Source organism: Homo sapiens, chromosome 13, assembly GCF_000001405.40.
Source record: "Homo sapiens chromosome 13, GRCh38.p14 Primary Assembly".
Lineage (NCBI taxonomy): Eukaryota > Metazoa > Chordata > Mammalia > Primates > Hominidae > Homo > Homo sapiens.
Window position 1 is genome coordinate 66,511,775 of NC_000013.11, and position 22,058 is coordinate 66,533,832.

General features: G+C 34.5%; 1 protein-coding gene across 5 annotated transcripts in view, besides 1 other annotated feature; it reads right to left on the reverse strand.

Moving 5' to 3' along the window:
- The window catches only part of PCDH9 (protocadherin 9), a 927,503-nt gene that overhangs the window by 208,941 nt on the left and 696,504 nt on the right, over window positions 1–22,058 (reverse strand). The window lies entirely within an intron of this gene.
- Window positions 18,897–19,398: an enhancer, noted in NCBI's record as "NANOG hESC enhancer chr13:67104803-67105304 (GRCh37/hg19 assembly coordinates)". NCBI's record gives its function as "activates a minimal SCP1, AML or CMV promoter by ChIP-STARR-seq in primed H9 embryonic stem cells {active_cell/tissue: H9 hESC(primed)}" and the evidence as "EXISTENCE:reporter gene assay evidence [ECO:0000049][PMID:30033119]".

The following is a 22,058-nucleotide window of genomic DNA, read 5'->3' on the forward strand; positions in this document are numbered from 1 at the left end:
TTCCCATGTGATATACCTGCTCTTCCTTTGCCTTCTGCCATGATTGGAAGCTTCCTGAGGCCGCCCCAAAAGCAAAAGCTGCTATGCTTCCTGTGCAACCTGTGGAACTGTCAGCCAATTAAACTTCTTTTCTTTATAAATTACCTAGCCTCAGGTATTTCTTGATAGCAGTGCAAGAACAGCCTAATAAAATAACTAATGAGTTTTACCTATGTTTGATGATGTTTAAAATCTCCATTTTGTAAAAAATTTAGAGATAGGTTTATCATGAAGTTAATGAAGCTTAACTTTTGGGAATTTTCACTTTTACAGGTCTCATCCTAATTAATATTTACTTCCTTAAATCATATTTGTATTCATACTTTTACATTTCTTTCTTAAAGTCCTGCAAGATTGACCACATTTAGGTGGCTTCATCCCTGCCTATTTTCCTAAAGAGCCTGTAGAGAAACATATTATACAAAAAAATTAATATATCTAACAAAATATATACAGATACCTTAGGAATTATATATATATATATATATATACACAATAAGAATTCATGAGAAGCGAGCTATTAACTATTGATAAATGGGTTGTGTCAATTATATATAAATGATTGTATTTTATAAAATATGTTTTTCAAACAATAATAGTTAATGTTCCCTTTGAGAAATTAGAATGCAGAAACTATAATAAGGATAGGTTCTGATAGTTACTAGAAGTACTTCAAAGGAGGGAAATGAAGATGTTTCTGGCTTTCTGTAGTCCTGAATGAATCTCCACAATACCCCCAGATTCTAGATTCTGTGTGTCAGAGCTTTGCTGTGAAAGTCTAGTCCCATTACTTTGTCAGTTTGCCTATATTATTTCGAGAAGTAAAACACACACACAGACACAAACACAGATTTTAGACTTATCACAAAAAGAAAAATTATTTCATATTGTATATTGTTAATGTAATAAAAAATTCTGTAAAACAAACTGTAGAACTATTAACTCTAGCAAAAAGACACATGGACTCATTCTTTCATTCTTTTCTCTTTTCTTTCTTTCTTTTTTTGTTTTGTTTTGTTTTGTTTTGTTTTTTGACACAAAGTCTTGCTCTGTTGCCCAGGCTGGAGTGGAATGGTGCAATCTTGGCTCACTGCAACCTCCATCTCCCTGGCTCAAGTGATCCTCCCAACTCAGCCTCCCACATAGCTGGGACTACAAGCACACACAGCTAGTTTTTGTATTTTTTGTAGAGATGGGGTTTTGCCATGTTCCGCAAGCTGGTCTCAAACTCCAGGGCTTCAGGAATCCACCTGCCTGGACCCCCAAAGTTCTGGGATTACAGGTGTGACCCACCGTACCAGACCAGTACACATTCTTATATTCTTATATATATTATGTAAACAGACTAATCTATTTCTGTTTGCCTATAAAATAACACGTGTTTTTTTTTTTTTTTCCTGTCAGGACACTTTATATGCCAGGGTGAATAAAATGCCATTTTTTCTTGTATCCTTTTATTATTTTTTTTCAGTAGCAAATGAAAACTTTTACAAAATGTCTGCTATAATATATGTAACTTTCTTTAAAAATAATTTAAAAATCATGCTGTATTATATGTTTAAGCTACTTTAATAGTTTCCTTTACATTTCTTTCAAACTACCTGTCCCTAAGAATTGCCACGTTTTACATAATTTCATTCGCTAGCAGTGTTTTTATGCCCTTGTTCTCTACTGAAGACAAAAGAAGACAAAAACTACAGGCCCATCAATCAAAAACAACACAGTCAGCACCAAGTCCAATAATGAAAACCATGATTTCATAAATCATCTTCCACAGGTTGGGGTCATCTTTAAAGAAAAAAATCTTATCAGGTGCAGCTGAATATTCTCTTGGTCTTTCATTCTTCAGTTTTTAATAAAACAATAGAATGGCTGTCAGAATACAAATGTGTAACCTTTCTTAAGTAAAAAAAAAAAAAGCCTGAACTATATCCTGACTATGCCCTTGAAATAAGTTGAAGTCAGGATATTTTTTCCTCAAAGGTCCAGCATTCGTTTTTTAACAGTTTGGCAATGAGGTAACTTTTTTTTTTTCTCTTACTCCCTTTTCAGACATGTGTGGTTAATTCAATCAAGTGGAGATTAAATTTAAGAACTCAGTTTCAGAAAGCTATTTCCTGGCAGTGACTAACACTGACTGCAAAAGGAGATTTGACATGGCATTTTTGTTTTAGCTGAATCAACAATTCTTGGGTGAATTCTGTTTTGTGACCCCGAGTCCACATCCACATATTAGGAAGTAAAATAAGTAGCTTGTAATGACTGGGTAGATGCAGACTGAATGGAGATTTATCTCTTTAAAAATATGAACTCTATATTTGCAAACCTGGTTAAATATGTCTGAGTGAAATAAGGTTTGATTAGGCATACACAGTACTGTATACTTAATCAAAGTTCCTAAATTGATTTTGCTAAGACGTCGCTGCCTGGCATATCCCAAGTCCCTAATGTAATCCAATAAAATCTATTTTTTGGACTTGAGTTAGCCATACATATTGGGATATTCACCTTGTTGCAGAGACATAGACTTGGTTTGTATAAAATAAAATTCATTCAGCAGTAGTATTGACGTGGTGCAGGTTCATGTCCTTTTATGTAGACAGAGAATGGCAGTGTGTCTAAAGAACAAATCGTTTTGAGTTTAAAAATTAGTGAATGGGAAAATGGAGTGAATTCAAAAAAAAAAAAAAAGAAAGACATGCAAAATAGGTTGCTGAGTGTAAGTAGGAGATGCCTTAGGCAACAATTTATGTTAAAAAATTTAAGTATATTATTAAGAATTTGGGAATTCAACACCAAAGGAGTTTATTCTTCGGGTGTGCTTTTGTGGCAGACATGAGAAAACCTTTTGCTTTAGCAAAGCTCCCATTGTCTTATTTAGTAAGCATTCCGGATACTTCTATTCAGAAGAGGTTGCTATTTACAGGCATTGTGAATTCTTACCAATTTTCTGCCTGCTACATAATGTAAAAGCAATGAATGGCTATACTGCATCGTTCACACTTTCAACTATATGTGATTATCTGGTCCACTGGTCTACTGTAGTGTATTTCCGAATTGAATTGAAGATAAACCCATAATAGTCCATTTCATACAGAGACATTTGTCTCAGTTTAAATTCAGGGCCCACATATCTACTTATTTCCATTCTGTTTTGTAAGTACGGTGTTTTCATCATCATAAAACCATATTAGCTCCCTGATTATACCTGGAATTCTGCAAGTGCTGTGAGAGCACTACTAGTCTCATTTCTGGTTCTTTAGCATCTAACTTTAAAATAAATAACACAGTCACTAAATAAAGAACAAAGGCTCAGAAAGGAGTTGTGGGGAATTTTCCTCAAGGTACTGTATCATGTCCAGTTTTGCATAAACAAAAGGATTTCTATATGTTATCAAGTTACTCACATTAACCTTGCTTTGTTCACACAAACACTTGTTATATTTGAATAAGAAATCAAAATATAATTGGTGTTTGAACAAATTCAAGTTTATTATGCAATCAGACAGCATTACTTATATGTTTAGTAACTATATGTGAATCAGTTAAACTTATTTGTACAACTATTCAAATTCATTATTATAATATTCTTAAGATAGATAATCTGATTTTTAAATAAAAGTTCCACGGATAAAAACATGGTATCATATAGGTAAAATTTTAAAAAATAAAACAATTATCATATACGGTTTTAAAAAATCATAACATTATACATATTTAGAAATTATACTCCTGGGCAGTAGTAATGCTTTTATTTGGCATAAAAATTAGCAACCGGAAGCAAATACAGTAAAATGTTAATATCTGCTAGGTCCATGTAGTATGCACATAGATATTTCATTTTTCTCCATACTGGAAATCTTTCATAATTATAAAAGGAAAAACAGAACATACAATTTAACAAGAATGTAAATAGTAAAATTTATAGAAAATTATGAATTATGTAGAAGAATTGTAAACATGTTTTGTACAAATCAAATTTGTTGCTTACTATTTTCTCCAATTCTTAATAAAACTAATTTAGAAAGCTTTCTCAAGTGAATTTTAAGTATGTGAGCTACACAAGTTTTTTGAGAATATGAGATCACCACCTGAATTGCTTTTTGTGTTTTTATACAAAGGAGGATGACTTTACCACATTTACAAGTTTACAAGGGAACATCTTTCTCCCATACCCATTGGCTTTGCTGTCACTGAAAATGAAATATTTTATTTTCAGAGTTTTTTCTTAACACCATTTGAAATACTTCTACTTGAAAAGAAATTATTGTCCCATCTAACTTTTTTTGTTAATTCTTATCAACATGGAAATTGTGTAATAATTCAATGTAATTTTATTTTCCTCAGAAGTACTGTACAATAGATAAAACATGTTAGGTTTAGAAATCAAGAGTCTACTGAATGCATATGATATCCAATAGATACAACTGGCAAACTTATTAAGACAATCACGTATATAGTAGTTCAAGATTATTACTGGGTCTTTCTAGTAAAGCTGTAATATTACTCAATATTTCTAATACTATCAATAATAATCCTAGAAGCTTGGCCTTCATTTTTATGTTATTCTATCTTGCTATGTAAACACAGAAAAGCCAAAATGTTATTGTAAGCCTTTGATATCTGCACTCTAATATGTATTAATTAAATCTAAAAAAAATTTATATATAAGCCAAATTAGAAAAGTTCTGAAATAAAACATGTTTGTAAAGGATGAACGGGGAATAATAAGACAGTGTAGCACAGTTTATCATTTTTCCACATATTCTTTGTGAGCAATTCAGTATTTTGATTAATGGATCCAATTATTGTTTAGAGACTATCAACTATCTTGTCTTTAGGCATTTGTCTACATGCCTAAAATTGACAATCTGCCACCCTCCAAAAAGAAAACCATCCGAAATCTCTCTCTCTCTCTCCCTCACTCTCTCTTTCTCTCTGTGTCTATGTGTGTGTGTGCTTGTATGAGTCATTTTATCTATGCTGAACATAATCAAATTTGTCCTCCTCATCAAAACCTTTAGAACCTATCTCAATTAAGAATATCTTTCCTGTTAATTTTTTAATACATCTACAGTGAGTGTCATATGGTTTAGAATTAATTTAAATGCTATTTGCTATAACAAGAGTTCCAAAACTTCTGCAAATCAGATCTAATAACACCCATTTATTTAGTATTTTCTAAGACTGCTTTCCTGCTACAATGGCAAGATTGAGTAATTGCCAGAGACCCTAGGAAGCCAGCAAGACTTGAGATATGTAGGCCAGTAGACAAGAAGTTTGCCCACACGTGCCAAACTATATATGGGACATTTCTGGTATCTTTAATTTATATAAAGTTGCTTTTTCAAGTAAAATACAATATAGTTAAACTTAAGAACAATTTTTAGAAATTTATATTTTGAACATGACCTCAAAGTATTTGTCATTGTTCCAGGGACATATTGGACACTTTGTAACTGACCGATTTATTAAATCATTGCAGAGCAAGAAATCCATTTATGATATAAACTGCACTTCCTCTAAGCTTGATCACTTTAGCTTAAGAGATCACCAGAATGCTACACATTTGGGTTGCATAATTGTGAGACTAAAAATACTTTTGAGGAATTTTGATAGTAATTAGACTTTTAGCTTTTCCAATGAAACAGGCATTCTTAGACATTTCTGTAATTTAAAAAAAACAACAACAAAACTTGCTATCAGGGACAATATCCACTGTGTTCTTCACAGAGCCTCTTAAAAGCTCATGTGAAATTCCTACCAGAATTCAGCATTAAAGAAAAAACGTGTCTTGGAATGAATTATGGTTTTCTTTGTAAGATAATGAAAACTTCTCAATCCATTGCCTATCCCTTCTAAACTTGGCCTTCAGGAAACCCAGAACTAAGATTTAAGCTCTATTTTAGTAGCGAATCTTAAATTTCCTTTCCTGTCATGTACTCCATACTTTTAATAAACAATTCTTGATTTTTTTCCTCTTAATGATTTTACATCTTTAAAATTTTGTGCTGCAATAAACTTACTTTTGAAATTGGCATTATAGAAAAATAATGAATGCTTGCATGAATTAATAAATGAATAAATGAAAAAATATGCCCCCACATTCTGCCATCCATTATTCTCAACAAAATGAATGGACATGTTCTATCCATCCCGTGTTAGTTCATTCCTGCATTGCTATAAAGAAATACCTGAGATTGGGTAATTTATAAAGAAGAGAGGTTCAACTGGTTCACGGTTCTGCAGGCTGTACAAGAAGCATGGCTCCAACATCTGTTTGGCTTCTGGGGAGATATGGGGAGCTTTTACTCATGGCAGAGGGCAAAACAAGAACTTACATGTCATATGGCAAAAACAGGAAAAACAGAGGAGGGGAGGTGCCACACACTTTTAAACACCCAGATCCCATGTGAACTCAGAGCAATAGCTTACTTATTACCAGGAGGATGGTGCTAAGCCATTCATGAAGGATCCGCCCCCATGATTCAAACACCTTCCACCAAGCCCCGCCTACAACACTGGGGATTAGATTTCAACCTGAGATTTGGACAGAGACAAATATCCAAACTATATCAATCCCTATTTTCCTGAATCATCAATAAAACCACAATGAGACAATACTTTTAAAAGTTTCAAAAGTGAAATTTAGAAATAATAGCTGATTTTTGACCCTAAGTTGCAAACTCCTCCTCCTCGATAAAATTTGGATTTGAATATTATGAAAGCACACTTTTTTATGGGCAAGGTAGGGCTGATAAGCAAGGATTAAAAGGATATACTTTGGAAAATTCAAATATTTTGTTAGTTTATTTACACTCTAGGGATAAACCAATGAGAAAACGCCCGAGGTTTAGAAGTTATATAAGTTTATGGGTAACATAAATTTACTTTAAATACATGTGGGGTGGTGGTAATAAGTTGTTTGACTTGCGCTACTCCAAAATGCCTGGACCGCAGTGCTGTTGTTGGGAGGGGCAAAGGGATTCAATGGGCAGGGAATTTTAAAACTTTTCGAGTAAAAGAGACCAAAACCCAAACGCATGAATTAACACCAGGGCAAATTGCTTTATTGGAACACAGTATTTCCAAGAAAGGCCCAAGGGCATAATAGTACAAGATATCCAAACTAAAACTGTTTTAAATAAAGAAAATCTAGTCCGGTGTCCCAGATATAATATACATTTTCTCTGGATTCACGTGGAAAGACTAGGGTCTGATACAGTTTATATTCGAGGCTGGGAACTACTATGCATGTGGCCACACAGAAATAATAGTGCACTTTGGAAAGTTAACTGAACACATGAGCTGTATAAAGTTGGGCTGGTTATCTCCACTGGCAGTGCTTTGACATCCTATTCTGATAAACAGTGGTGATAGTAGTGCATTCCTCTAAGGTTCTGTAAGAATTAAATAAATTTATATATAAAAATCCTTTAAAAAAAACCAGATACCTGGTAAGATCTATATTAGAAATTGTTTATTATTATTATAACAATCAGTACAGATACCCATATATATATATCAAGTTAAATTCACCATTAATCGGGTTATGCACAAACTGGTAATAGGAAATGGGCAAAAGCTTTATGATGATCAAACTGACCATCAACGGAAGAGGCAGACGAGCACTCTTTATAATCTCAGGCCTGCTTCTAATTAGCAGTATGCCCTTGGGTAAACACTTAGAGCTTCTGAGTCTCAACTTCCATATACGAAAAATAAATGAGTTAGTCTAGAGAATCCCTAAGGTCATTTTGGCCCTAAGATTTTATGAGTCTATGAATCCTCTTAGAATGTGAGTGTCATATAGTCAGGCCCTAGGAGAGAAACAGACAACACACATGCCAGTTCCCTTCCCTGCAAGAGGTTATGATCCTGATACGATGAAAGAGGCTTGTTACCCACATTTGCATGACACAGTATCATTCTCAATTATATAAGCTTTGTAAAGTATTTTTCTGATTTTGCAGACCGAAGCAGCTCTCGGCCATTGGAAAATATTGTGAGCCAGGATGACTAGCTTTACAGACTTTGAGCTTCTCTTCTTACTCGACTGGTCGACGGCAGTCCTATTAAAACAGAATCTACACTTTTATATTTTACTGAAAAAGTATCACACTAAATAAACTTTTTTGACTGACGTGTATTTTCTGTTACTCAGATAGTTCTTTTCTGCCAAAGCAGCAATCCAAATCGGTTCAGGACAAAAAAGTGAGCGGGCCTTGTCCTGTCCTGACTGCGAGCAATGATGAGAGGGAACACGGTGCCTCAGTGCTCTCAGTGTGCTGCAGGGCTCTCTGTGGCTTAAATGCCCTTTACGTCCTTTCCCTACCTTCAATACTATCATTTATTTTTAGCATCTTTTGTTTTGAACGTCTTAAACTGATAGTACTATGGTAATAAAATGTCAGTGTCAACAGACTTTCCTGAATTTGGATTAAATGTGCATACAATGATTTTTTTTCCGCTATTTCATTTGCTTTGGAACTCAGCATTGTCCCGAAACTCCTTAGGTCTTCCTTTCTAGTAATAGAAGAAAACAGTGATTCAGATTTGAACTAAATGCATTTACTTTTGTTCATAATACTGTGAGTGAGATAAGATTGGGTGGGAAGTTGTCTTTTTTCCTGCATTGCTGCATTTTCCTGCAGTAGTTCTGCAGATCATCTTTCAGGTTCAAAGCCACATGAAAACCTGTGATGCAAAGCAATCTCCCTGGGAACAGACATGCTTCATTTTAATGCTTGTTGCCTTTAAAATTAATCTATCGAATATCTGATTATTTAGCTGATCCTTTCCAATGGTGGAATCTTCAAATCCTGTGTATTCACAGGATGAATTCTTAACTCTGGACTTTATTTATGCCTCAGGGCTTATCAAGTCCATAATAGAAGCACTGTGAACCATAAATGGAGTATTTGCCTCACAGTAATTGAACCATATGATGCTTTGTGTTTAGGTATCTTATGTCTTAATTCATAACCAATTTTAAAAGGGCCTGTTTCTGTGACATCAGGAAACCCTTGTCTTCCAGGACAGAGGAGAATGAAATGCTTCATGATTAATGACACTATCTAAATACTGGCAGAAGCTGGTGAGTTCTTGCAAAGGAGGCGTGTTTGACTGTATTCTGCCCAAGGACAACAGCTCATTAGGCAATATTTTCCCCATTAATGTTTAGTATTAAACACTGAATGAAAGACTAAATATCATACAGAAAAACAAATTGAAAACAGCACAGTAGGGTTTAGGGTAGGCAGCCAACAGCCTCCCCTTCATTTGGAAGACAGCTTGCATACCTATTCCAAAGATTAATGAGCAATCAGTTCTAAATTAAGCCAAGACCTGCATTTAAATCTTTTTTTTCCCTCTGTTGAAAGTATGGCTATGAGTTACACTAACTGTGATAAAATACAGTATTAGCCTTTCCATGTGTTGAGTAATGTGGTTAGAAACATGAAAGATTGTTTCTGAAACATTTCCTTCACATTTTTTCAACATTTATTTTCCTGCACAATTTGAAAGGAAATGGGCCATGATGAGGTCGGTAGTTTCTGCCACATGATGCAGAATCTTGCTCTCTGTCAGTCACTCAAAAAACAGTCACCACTTTGAAGATGGAATAAGAAAACCGCTTTTATGAACATCACAGATCCTATCATAGGTAGCTAACATAGAATTTCAATTTTATGAAAACTGTCAAAAGAAACTACCTTTCAGTAGGAGCACAGATACTGTTATAGTGTGTGAAAATATGGAAGATTCTGCTATATTGCTGAAGCCTCAGGACACTGATAACACCCGTGGTACGTGTTATGGTGAGATATATTTTATACACAGAGAGGCTTGGTTTAACAAAACATGTGATTCAATCCTCAAACTGCAAAATTGTTTCAAGAGGAATTCACTTGGTTAGAGGACTTACTTTAGAAAAACTTGATACAGGATACGACAATTCACAAAACAAAAACGATATTTAGGGATTCTTAATCTGGGTCTCTCTAACCTTAGTATATCTATGAAAGAACTGTGTACACACCTAATTTTTAATACATGATTCTGTTTGTGTGTGCATATATATACATTATCCTGGAGTAGATTTTCATTAAATTCTGAAAGAGAAATTTGATACCACACTTTAAAGAGTCATTGCTGCACTCCAGCCTGAGTGACAAAGTGAGACCCTGTCTCAAAAAAAAAGTATGTGTGTGTATATATACATATATATATATATATAGTTTTATACATATTTTAAATATATATACATATATTACATAAGGCAGTCAAATTTCCTCCTTTGGCTATACTTTAAAAATTACCTAAGGAAATTTTTTTAAAAAAATACCAATGTAGAAAACCCTTCCATAGCTCAATTAAATCACAATATCAAGGGGTAAAATCAAGGCATGGCATTTGTTTTAAAAAATCTTGTATCTTAAAATAATACATGACTGGGAACCAAAATAAGTGACAAAGACAAAAAAAATTACATTGTCGTATGGAAAAGGGGAATCTGATATAAACGGAAGATCCTTGGAAAGATTTGACCAAAATTTCAAGTTAAGAATTGTGTAGCTTTCAGTATGAAGTAAATATACTAAGATTTCAAAATTCAATAAGAAAGACAATTACAACAATTTTTTTGAAACAACTGTCACATAGCTTATGCGTATCAGTAGGAGGTTGAATGATGTTACCCCAAAAGATGTGTTTGTGTCCAAATCCTTGGACTTGTGAGTTTGACTTCACCTGGAAGAATGGTCTTTGCAAATATAGTTAAAGAGATGAGGTCATGGTGGTTTGAGAGAGCCCTAAGTCCAATGACAAGTGTCCTAGGGAAAGGACACACAGAAAGAAAAGAATGAGGCTATGTGACCACGGAGATAGAGAGAGTCATGCAGCCACAAGCTAAAGGGCATGTGGAACCAAGAAGATCTGCAAGAGACATGGAGTGGAATCTCCCCTTAAAACTTTGGAGGAAGTGGAGTCCCTCAATTTCAGATTTCTTGCCCCAGAAGTAGGAGAGAAAAAATGTATGCTTTTTGTTATTGTTGTTGTTTTTTTAACGTCACCCAGCTTATGGTAATATGCTACAGTCACAGGAAACTGACACAATATCTTATTCTTATTTGTCTGCTAGCAAATAATATAATATCTTAACATTAGCATAGTTTGCTGGACTGAAATTACAGTCTCTGAATAGAGCCCACTGCATTTCTTTTACTTGCAGGGTGTTGCTTCAAAATGATTTTAAAGCAAGTCTTGTTTAAGGTGAATTCATAGCAATTTGTTCAAGAAAGAATCATCAGCATTCTTGAAAGTTCAATCATTATCTCATTTGCTCTCCCTGAATCATTACCTTTGTGTGAAATGCTGCGTACTCCTCCTCCTCCTCACCCTTCATTACTATCACTATCAAAATTTATAATTACATAGAATTTACACTATGCCAGCATATTATAGGACAACATTTATTTAATAATGGGAGTAACCCTACAGAATAGGCACTATTATGACCATTTAACAGTTGAGGAACTGAAGAACAGAGCTTGAGAAATTTGCTCAAAGTTGAAGTAAAGAAAGGAAGATAATATGAGAAAAATAAACTGCCAAATGGTAATATTGTTAAAGATGATGACAGTATTTCATTTGTTCAAGTAGCACATAATGTGTGTCTTCTGAACGTAGTTTTTTTGCCAAACGAAGATTCAGATGAACTTAACATATATATATATATTCACACATATACATATACACACACACACACATATGTACACAGATACTACTATGTGCACAGTGATTCAGTGGAAGAATGCATATACAGGCTGCTCTGTAGGAGTTGGCAGGGGGAGGGTGGAGTGTAGCATCAGAGGGAAAAAGCATAATGAGGGGTGAGAAGAGATTAAGGATGATTTTTTAAAAATATGATTACCATTATCACATAGAAGATAACTGGATCAAGTAATTTCTATGCAGACACAGAGGGAAAAAACTTGCATTATTGAAAACAATTTTTTATGATTTTTATAAATGTAAACTTTTGAAAAATACTTAAGCATAAAATAATTTATATAACAGATAGATAGTTTTATAATGGGTTATACATTTTATAAGTTCAGTGTCTACCAGTGAAGGCATGATCGATATTCAGAGGTAATCAAGGTCAGCATCGCTCATTATGAGGCGGTGCTAAATGATATGTAGAGTGCTTGGTCATTCAGCCCTCAGATGGAGAAGTGAGGGAAATAAATAAATAGTGGGAATGGGCTTTAATGAGTTCATGATTAATTTTTCTTTTTGCCACGATTAGCTTTCATACTCTTTTGTCACAAACAATTTGCAAGAATTATTTAGTTAAAATCAAATATATTGAAAGTAATAAAAAAGTTGAAAGTACTTTCTGTATGAAAACTGTAGCTTAATAATTACATAAAATGGTTATTAATTTCCTTTGATATGAATTCTGTTTGTATCAGAATTTTTCCTTTTCTCTTTTGTTGTTCTTTTTCCTTTTCTCTTTTTGTTTCCTTTTCTCTTTTGTATAAAGATATAAAGAATGTATCTTTATTCTGCCATGGAAGACTAAAATTTTATTCTTGTTAATATTGTGTACTGAAATTTTAATGTGTAATTACAGAACAGGTAACCAGCGTCCTTTCTGCTGAAGAAATCCTGGAAAGGGTACTGACAAACCTGGCAAATTTCAAGACCTGTTTCAAACTCTCACTTTTTTCAGCTAAAGGGGGGTGTTAATAATAACATAATTTGGACTTGCAAAATAGTATGGAGAAATCTGCAAATATAGAGCTATCGGAAGAGAATCCAAAGAAAGAAGAACAGAAGTAAAAAGGTTTTATTAGTGCACCCCACTCCCACAAATGATAATTCAGCACTCGTTGAGGAAAAGGACTAAGGTAGTTATATTAGCTTTCTAGCAAAGCCAACACAAGCCAATATGTTGCCGTTTATAATAATATATTTTGGGAAGTCAAAAAGTAGAGACATTTCATTCATAAAATGGGGAGTATCATTTTGAAACCAAAATTTGTAGATACCTCTGCTATCTTGAAATAATAGCCATCTTTGCTCCTATTTTAATATATCTTGCAACTTTCCAATGAAATTATTTTCTATTAAAAATCTTGAGTGATGTGTGTGCATGTGAGAGAGAGAAAGAGAGACAGAGAGCATGAACATGTGCTTGCATGCCTCAGGAGAAAAATCTTAGAATCTCACAGGTTGGTGTCACTATTAATTTGTGGTTCTAACCTCAGCTGAATACTCCTCTGAATTGCCAGACACTACTTCCAGTTCTCCCTTGTCGCTCTCATTTCCCTTCTCTACAACGGCAATTTTACAACTTCTCCACTCTCTTTAACCCCTGATCTCCAACAGCGTCTCTCCAACTCTTAAAAGGTCATGTCAATTCTTGGAAGCAGTGGTCATCAGTGAAGCATTCCCCCAGTTTACCACCTCTTTACAGTCCTCCAGGATTCCTGAATTATTCTTTCTGCTTTCATGTGTTTAGAGTTAGCACTGGCCAGTCTCCTGCCAGTCCTAGCCCCTCCACATGTGTTCTGCATCCAATTTCCTCTTTCCTTCCCAGGAACTAAATACTATCAATTATACCTCCTTTATTCACTCTTCAATGTTTTCTTCTTTTCTGGAACACTTCCATTAGCACTTACACTTGTCTAAATCTTTTTCCATCTTAAAACAAAGCAAAAATCAAAACAAAACAAAACAAAACAAGCAAACAAACAACGAAAGTCCTTTATTTTTAGCCCACTTACTCATTCTTGCTTTTTAATGCCAAATTTCTTTAAAACATTTGTCTACATTGAATGTCTCCAACTTTGTATGTCTCATTAAAGTTTCAAGGTGTTAAGATGTGGCTTCTTCCCACAGCATACATTCTAGTGCACTTCAGCCATTTTATTTGCATCTTCCAAGAATGCTTAAGAATCAGCGTGGCCAAAATGAAGCTTGTCATCTCTTTCAAATCCCCCAGCTTTCACCTTGTTGTCTAAGCTAAGACGACATACGTTCTTCACTTTATTCTCTTCCTTAGCTCACACAATTTAATCCTTACGTTATAGCTCTTAAGTAGTGTTTAAATCCTTCCATTTATTTGTATATACTCTGTACAGCTGTTCCCTTTCAATGCACTTATTGCACTTTTTCAGTGGACATTGATCTGATTCCCCCAATAGAAGGAACCATGGCTATCTCATTCCTTGCTACATTCTTAGGGATGAGTTCCGGGTTTGGACATGACTGATGCTCAATAAAAATAAATATTAGTTTTGTGTGTAAAACGAAGTTTCCATTTCTATCAGGAAGGGGAGAATGCTTCTACAAACAGGAGTCTTTCTATTGCAAGCTCTTTAGAGAAGAAATAATGCTATTTATTTTAATTATGAGCTGAATGAGCACAAAGGAAGAACACCTGAGGTTTGAGTTATAAATGCTGTGTAAAGTGACTGTGATCCTGCGGTGCTAATAAAACACGAGAATAAGACTATTGAGTCTTGTGCAAATATTTTGATGAACCATTTTGTCAGAATGAAGACTCCCCTGAAGAGGAAAGTCTCAACTCAAAGTTCAGAAATTTTGCTGAGCTAAAATGCTTGAAAATCAGGACAGTCTTAAAATCAATGTATTTATGTTTACTTATACAATGCTTTGAAATCTCTCTCTCTCTCTCTCTCTCTCTGTCTCTGTCTCTCTCTGGAGTGCATAGCTTCACAATTCCCTGTAGATCACAAATATTTGTCAGTTCACCATAATTTGTCTTTTTATGAGTACTTAGAGATTAATTCTCACTGCATTGGGAGTGAATATACAAGATGCTTCTGATATCCTGGTTTTGCCCTGCTAGAGTAACAAATATGTGAAACATAATAATCTCAAATTCATTATGAAGTTACTATATTCCCAGCAAGAATATCTCAAAGTGGCCTAAATTTAACTATTTTTTAAGAAAATAAGAACTCTGTAAATAAGAGAACTTTGTATTTTAGATTACTTATACATGATAAACCTACACAATATCTCTGATGCAAGCAAAAGTGCATAAAAGTACTGTGAGCATATCATTGGATTTGCACTACTACTATAGTGATAGAAAAGGCCATTCCATGCTTGGTTGAACTAAATGTTAGCAGGTAGGCCACGAAGTGGCTGTGGGGTTAGAACAGTAATATTTTGGGGATTTCTATAGTCCTAGGCCTGCTTTGTGTTGAGATGCGAAAGCCAACTAGCACCTAACCTCTGCAAAATCTTTCCATAAAACTATCAGTCTTATTGTACATTCCTTGGGGGAAGATACCTGATTATATAAAACTTATGTTTTACCTTTTATCTATCTTTCTATGTAATAATTCCCAAATTACTGTAAGTGTCAGGGTGAAATATAGCTGGTCACCTTTTTTTATTCAAGTTGTCAAAACAAAAAAAAAAAGAAAAATTTCAGACCAGCAGATATTGTCACATCATTTTTCTCTAAATTAAAAGATAGAAGTATCTCACCTCTCTTTGAATTCATCACTTTGTGTGTTAGATATAAATCTTCCCTACTACTCTGACCTACAGGTGATTAATGTTTTCTTTCTCTGTATTCATCTTTGCCCCTCCCTTTTAATTTCTATAAAACAGGTAATACCATTAAGGTCCTTACATGAACATACTTCTTATGCATCAAAATAGAAAGTGCAGTCTTCTAAAGAACTTTTTGTTTTTTTGGACTGCCTAATATATTTTGTGCTAAAGAGTTCCGTATGGTTGAAACTCCTAAGGAAAAGTGCTTACCTTTAAAAATACTTAAATATGACTTGACACAGTGGCCCAAAATGTGTAAGAAAGTCAAAGAAAAAAAGAAAGTATAAAGGAACAGGTCATTTATTAAAGATAAATTATCAGCCGGGCACAGTGGCTTACGTCTGTAATCCCAGCACTCTGGGAGGCCAAGGCGGGCAGATCACTTGAGGTCAGGAGTTCAAGACCAGCCTGGGGAACATGGCAAAATCCCGTCTCTACTAAAAATCCAAAAATTAGTGGAGCATGGTTGTACATGTCTGTAATCCCAGCTACTTGGGAGGCTGAGGCAGGAGAATTGCTTGAACCTGGAAGGTGGAGGTTGAAGTGAGCTGAGATCACACCACTGCACTCCAGCCTGGGTGACAGAGCAAGACTCGGTCTCAAAGGAAGTGAAGATGTTGTTAGAAGGGAAACAAACTCAATTATACAAACAGTAAATAATATATTGTTAAAGGGTGACAACCCTGAATAAATAGCTTTTTCTTTTCTGCAATTTCACCAACTCTCAGTTGACTAGAATTAGAAATATAAAAACAGAAATGGCAGAGGAAGTGAAAGTGTGGTCCCTTTGGAGCTAGCTTTATAATTTCCGAAAGATCCACCTCTGCTTTATTATATGGGGCAATGAAAACTCTCAGCAGTTCGCTTCACAGGGGAGTCTTCCATTACCGACCTGGCATTCCTCCTCGGCAATACAAGGTCACTCAATTATCCTCTCTTCAGATGCCAGCCCCACAGAAGGAAACTACTCTACTGAGGAAGCTCCCCGCAATAGTGCAATTGTACAAACAGAAACAAAGTACTGGCATCTTGCTAAAATGTGTTTTCCCAAGCAACTGAAGTGTAATTTTCAGCAGTACAGTATCAACTACTAAACTACACATAAAATGTGAGTGCCTAGTCAAAAGGAAACAATCTTTCTTCATTCTAAGCCAGTCATACCTTTTGTATTACTGTGTGGAATATCATTTATTTAAGTCGGAGTAACCTATCCATGAACAAGGAAAATCCATTTAGAAAAGTATTACTTCAGCACAGCAATTGCAAGCAAAATTCTCCTAAAAGGATAGGCAGGAAGATTAGGACAATGTCTCCTTTTTTATTTTAAACAGTAAAACTGCCCTGATTTACAAGTTTATAAGAGCTGCAAAACTCCCCCTGAGAATTATAAACTTCTTTTTTCTCTTGAATTTGTCCAAATGAATGCATCACTCTACTATTCACTTGGATAGGTTTGTAAGAATGAATGTGTTTTTTAAAAAAATAACCTCTCATTACTCAATTAATTATCAAAGTAGTAGAAAATTCACGTGGGAAACAACTTTTAAACTTTGAGTGGTACCCTTCTCTACTCTTCTCTAGCAAAGTCTTATGGAGATTGATTGCTTCCACACTGTACCTCCTTTAATCTCCTCTAACTGCTGTTGACCTATCTCTGCCATTCCTCTCCAAGTATATAATAAATCAAGTACATTTTACATGAAAAATGAAGTAATTACTCAGTGAATCCAATGGCTAATTGCACATAAAGGCCTCTGGGAAATATAGGACAAATCAGTGTCAGATTTCAAAAGACAGAAAGGAAGTTGAAGTTAATAACTCTCAAATACTGACAGGCTGAAAAGGACTTGAAATGCACCATCTCTTCAGGCACAAACTGATTCCCCACTTAGGGGAATTGCAAAACTCTAGCTATACACACCTTCTTTATACCAATAATAGTACTAACAACTGAGAAAATAGAACCTATTGCACTAAAGTGAACTACTTTGGAGGGAAAACTGAAACTGTCTTTTATTACTATTTGTATGAAGTCTTTGAACAGCAAAAGGGTCTGTGTCTTTTTCCTTTTGTTTGTGTATCGGTAGAGTCATATTTGTTCCAAAAACTAATAACTAAACTGTTTGTTTAGATGTAATGAAATCTGATTGCCTCTAGAATGTTGAATAAAAACATATTGGAATTAAATATTATGCAATCTCTTTTTATTACAAGAAGTCCATTTGAAAGTTTTGTGTTTTTTTCCCGTTTGCAAAAGTATTTAATAGTTCACACTGATTTGTTTTGCCTCTTGCTTCTTATATCTCTTTTACATGGCAGGTAGTATGTATCTATGACATAAAAGATGATAAATACCACAGTTACAGAATAAAGGTATAAAGCAAAAGGTTCCTCATACAGATCAATATCACATGAACACAAGATAGTATTGTGTACTAGAAGGAGTTATATCACCATGCTGTTAAAAAAAAAAAAGCACTTATCTGTTGCAGAAAAAAAAATATTTTTTTCTAGGAATTTAATGATCCACAACTTTTATGATGAATTATAATCATAAATACACATACAACACATTTACACCACACATCATGAACACACACATGCATACATCTCTCTCTCCCTGCATATATAGTTGTTACATTGATATTTTGTATTGTGAATCACTATTACTGGAGTTTATTAAGAAATGATATCTCTGCTTCCAATTTCAAACAAAAATGCAAGGTTTAATTTCCTTTTAAGCTCCTCCTACTTTTTTCTGATATGACCTAGGGTTCTGAAGGTACTTTTGTCTACAGAAAGAAATTATAAATACTGTCACAGCAGGAGAAGATATGTGTTTGTGGCAAGGATTCCCAGTGGCCAACTTTTCAGACTTCATTATTTTTCGACAGTGTGTGGCTTATCTACTGAAACATGAAAACTTAATGCTGACTTGGTAACATTTTACTTCCATTTTATTGCTGTGCTTTCAGTATTAGATATCAACTCATTGAGATAAATTATGTCCATAGTTATACCTTTATTTTGAGATTCTTATCTCTGTGTCCTCTATTAAGTGTCTTTATGGTATCTTTTTTTATTCTTAACAGAACTATGACATTAAATAGGAAAAGATAATAGGTCTGCCATCCTTCATCAATCTAGTATCACAGTAAGTCTAAACAAATGCTATTTACAATTAGGACAATCCTCAATATACATTAGTGATGCCTGTGTCCATGTATCTGTTGATCCAATGAAAACATAAACATATGATTAATATCAGCAACATAGGTTTTTTGTCTTTTCTTACCAGCAAGTAAGATGATAGTAAAAAAAAATAGATGTTTTATCCAGTTAAACAGTGGGACTACATCCATTGCTGATGTTGGTTGCATTATAATTGCGAGGAGTTTCTCTGGGGAGAACACTAACTGCTGAAATATATAACTAATCCCTTTCAGTTTTTTGAAGCATTTGCATACCTTTGTGTGAAAATCACTGACTTTTACCACTGATTTTCTCCCATTTCCTCAGGCCAGGCCATGATACTTGATGTAAAAGGGAGTCTGTGTTTTGTTTTGTTTTTTAAATCATCCATTGTGTTTTTCCCATGCTTATTATCATGACAATGCTGCAGTGCCTTAAGAAAAAGGATTTTTAAAATAACTTGAAATGATTAAACAGTGTTGGAGGTAAAAAAAAAATCCATTTTTTTTTGTTTTAAATATTTTTTGTGTTTTTGATTCCTTTTGTCTCCTGCTTCTTTGGTAATATTGGTTCTATTAGACTCAGGTTGTGATAAGACCGGCTAGGCTAAAGAACAAAAGACAAATGAGAACTCTCCGATAATAGATAGCTCCACTTTTGCATTTATTTTGAGACTGGGAGGATGCATCGCTTTATTCCTATCGAGTACAAGAAAACAACAGTCTTTATCCCCGCTTAATCACAATGGATTGCCATGGTGTACTTATTAATAGTTATATATGGAAAGCTAGTTAAAAATCATTGTTTTCAATCTGGAGATCGAAAGCACTGTTGTGAACATCAAGGCAGAATATTAAAATAAACGGATAGTATGTTACGAAAGTCTCAAGAAACAATTTTCTTGTTATGGCATGCACCAATTTCATTCACTTGATATTCTTTACTATTAAGAATCTAAACTAAAGGAAGAAAAGCCTCACCTAAATTTTAACGACTCTTCTAAGTAATATTGATTATGCTTTGAACTACGCTTTAAATTGTTTGGGGTGGTCCATTCTCTAAATACTTAAAATGCAAGAGGGCTCCTGGACAAACAAGGGAAAAACATTTATTTTAAGCTTTAAATGAAAGTCATTTTAAGATACTGCTCATACATTGTACTAATGCATTAAAATAAATATGTTCATTAGATTTTAAGGTAGATTTCCACTGAATGATTGTTAATCAACAATAGCACAAATGGAATTTAGAGATAGGCTACATGCTTGCATTAACTTAAGTTCTCTTGGCTGCAATTTTCTCTCCTATAAAATGAGGAGAATATCTATACATCTCTAATTGCTGCTTGCATTCTAAGACATTATTTGTGTTCTGATTTTGTTTTGTTTTTGTTTGAGAGACAGGGTTTTGTTCTTTTGCCCAGGCTGGAATGCAATGGCACAAGCACAGCTCATGGCAGCCTCTACCTCCAGGGCTCAAGTGATCCTCCCACCTTTGCCTCCTAAATAGCTGGGACTAATTACAGGCATGTACCACCATGTCCAGCTATTTTTTAGTGGTTTTTTTTTTTTCTTTTGTAGAGACAGGGTCTCACTATATTGCTCAAGCTGGTCTCAAACTTCTAGGCTGAAGCAATCCTCCTGTCTTGGCCTCCCAAAGTGTCCGGATGATGGGCATGAGCCTTGTATTTACTTTGTAAGGTGGAAATGCTTAAACCACATCTTCATGCTTAAACGTTCCCCATGGGTGAGTCAGCATAGAATTTGTCTAAATAAGGATTGGAAAACATTTATAAATAGATCAGTATGTTTTAATATGTAAGACACTAAAAATGAACTGTAAATGGAGAAGCAAAAACTAAATATTTAAACAAAAATTCTTGGCAATGAATCGAAATGCTATTTTATTGTCAAAATACATATTTGATTAATTTTTTTTGTTTTGCTTTGTTTTGTGATGTAGTCTTTCTCTGTCACTAGACTGGAGTGCAGTGGCCCAATCTCGGCTCACTGCAACCTCTGACTCCTGGGTTCAAGCTATTCTCCTGCCTCTGCCTCCCGAGTAGCTGGGACTACCGGCACATGCCCAATTTTTATATTTTCGGTAGAGACGGGGTTTCACTTTCGGAGGCCAAGGAGGGCAGATGTCAAGATTAATTTTATTTTTTTAATCACTTACTTCCATGTCTTACTAGCCATTCTCCTCGGTCTTTTCTTTCTACCTGTTATTAATGACTGCCTGTTGTAGGACTTTGCCACAGTATTACAGTATTTCAGACTAGGTGACAACATTAGATCTCATAATTTTCTAAAAAATGGCTTAACCAAGGGTGAGATGTAGCAGTTTAAAGATATGCATGACTGAAACTATCTCTGAAGAAGTTAAAAGGTCACCTTACGGTCTTAGCAACACATCTTTCTGTGGGTTGAGGAAGCCACTTATGTGCCCACACTGGGTGGAACTCCGGCAGTTCAGTGCTGTTGGGATTCAGGGCTTCTGGGCTGACGTTATTTCTGGCAGAAAAGCACAAAACTGGGGCTTCACTTGAAACGATGGTGAAACGGAACCAGCTGTTTCCAGATAATCATGGGTATATTCCAGACTCTTAATATATTCCTTTATGGAAGCTTTAAATAAAAGTCATTTTAAGATACCATTCATACATTGTACTAATGCATTAAAATAAATATGTTCATTAGATTTTAAGGTAGATTGTCTGCTTTTCTAGTCTCTCATATTAAACCACTGCACCCCTTTCTATATCTCATGGTTGATTTTTTTTTAGTTAAATATTAATGATATATAAAAATAACTAGACAGTGCAAAACTATTTGTAGATCATCATAAATTAACAAATTACTTTTGTATTTAACTATTAGTTATTTTTAGAGGAAAATTTTAAAATAAAAATCATTGTTCCCTGGATCCTAAGATTCTTTTTTAGCTAGATCTTAAGACATTAGTCAATTAATCCTAGGGACATTCAACCTAATGATTGAAGTCTACAAAATAGACATGACATAAAAGTTGTCTGAAATAAACAAAAACCATTGTTAAATAAGAAAACATACTTGCAAACAGTATGTTGAGCTTGATTTCTTTTATATTTACATCTACATCTATTTATTTAAAAATCTTAAAGATGCACACTACCCAGAGAAGGGAAGTTACGGACAATTTTTATTTTCACTTGTACTTTCAAATCATCTAACTGGCCTTCCAAC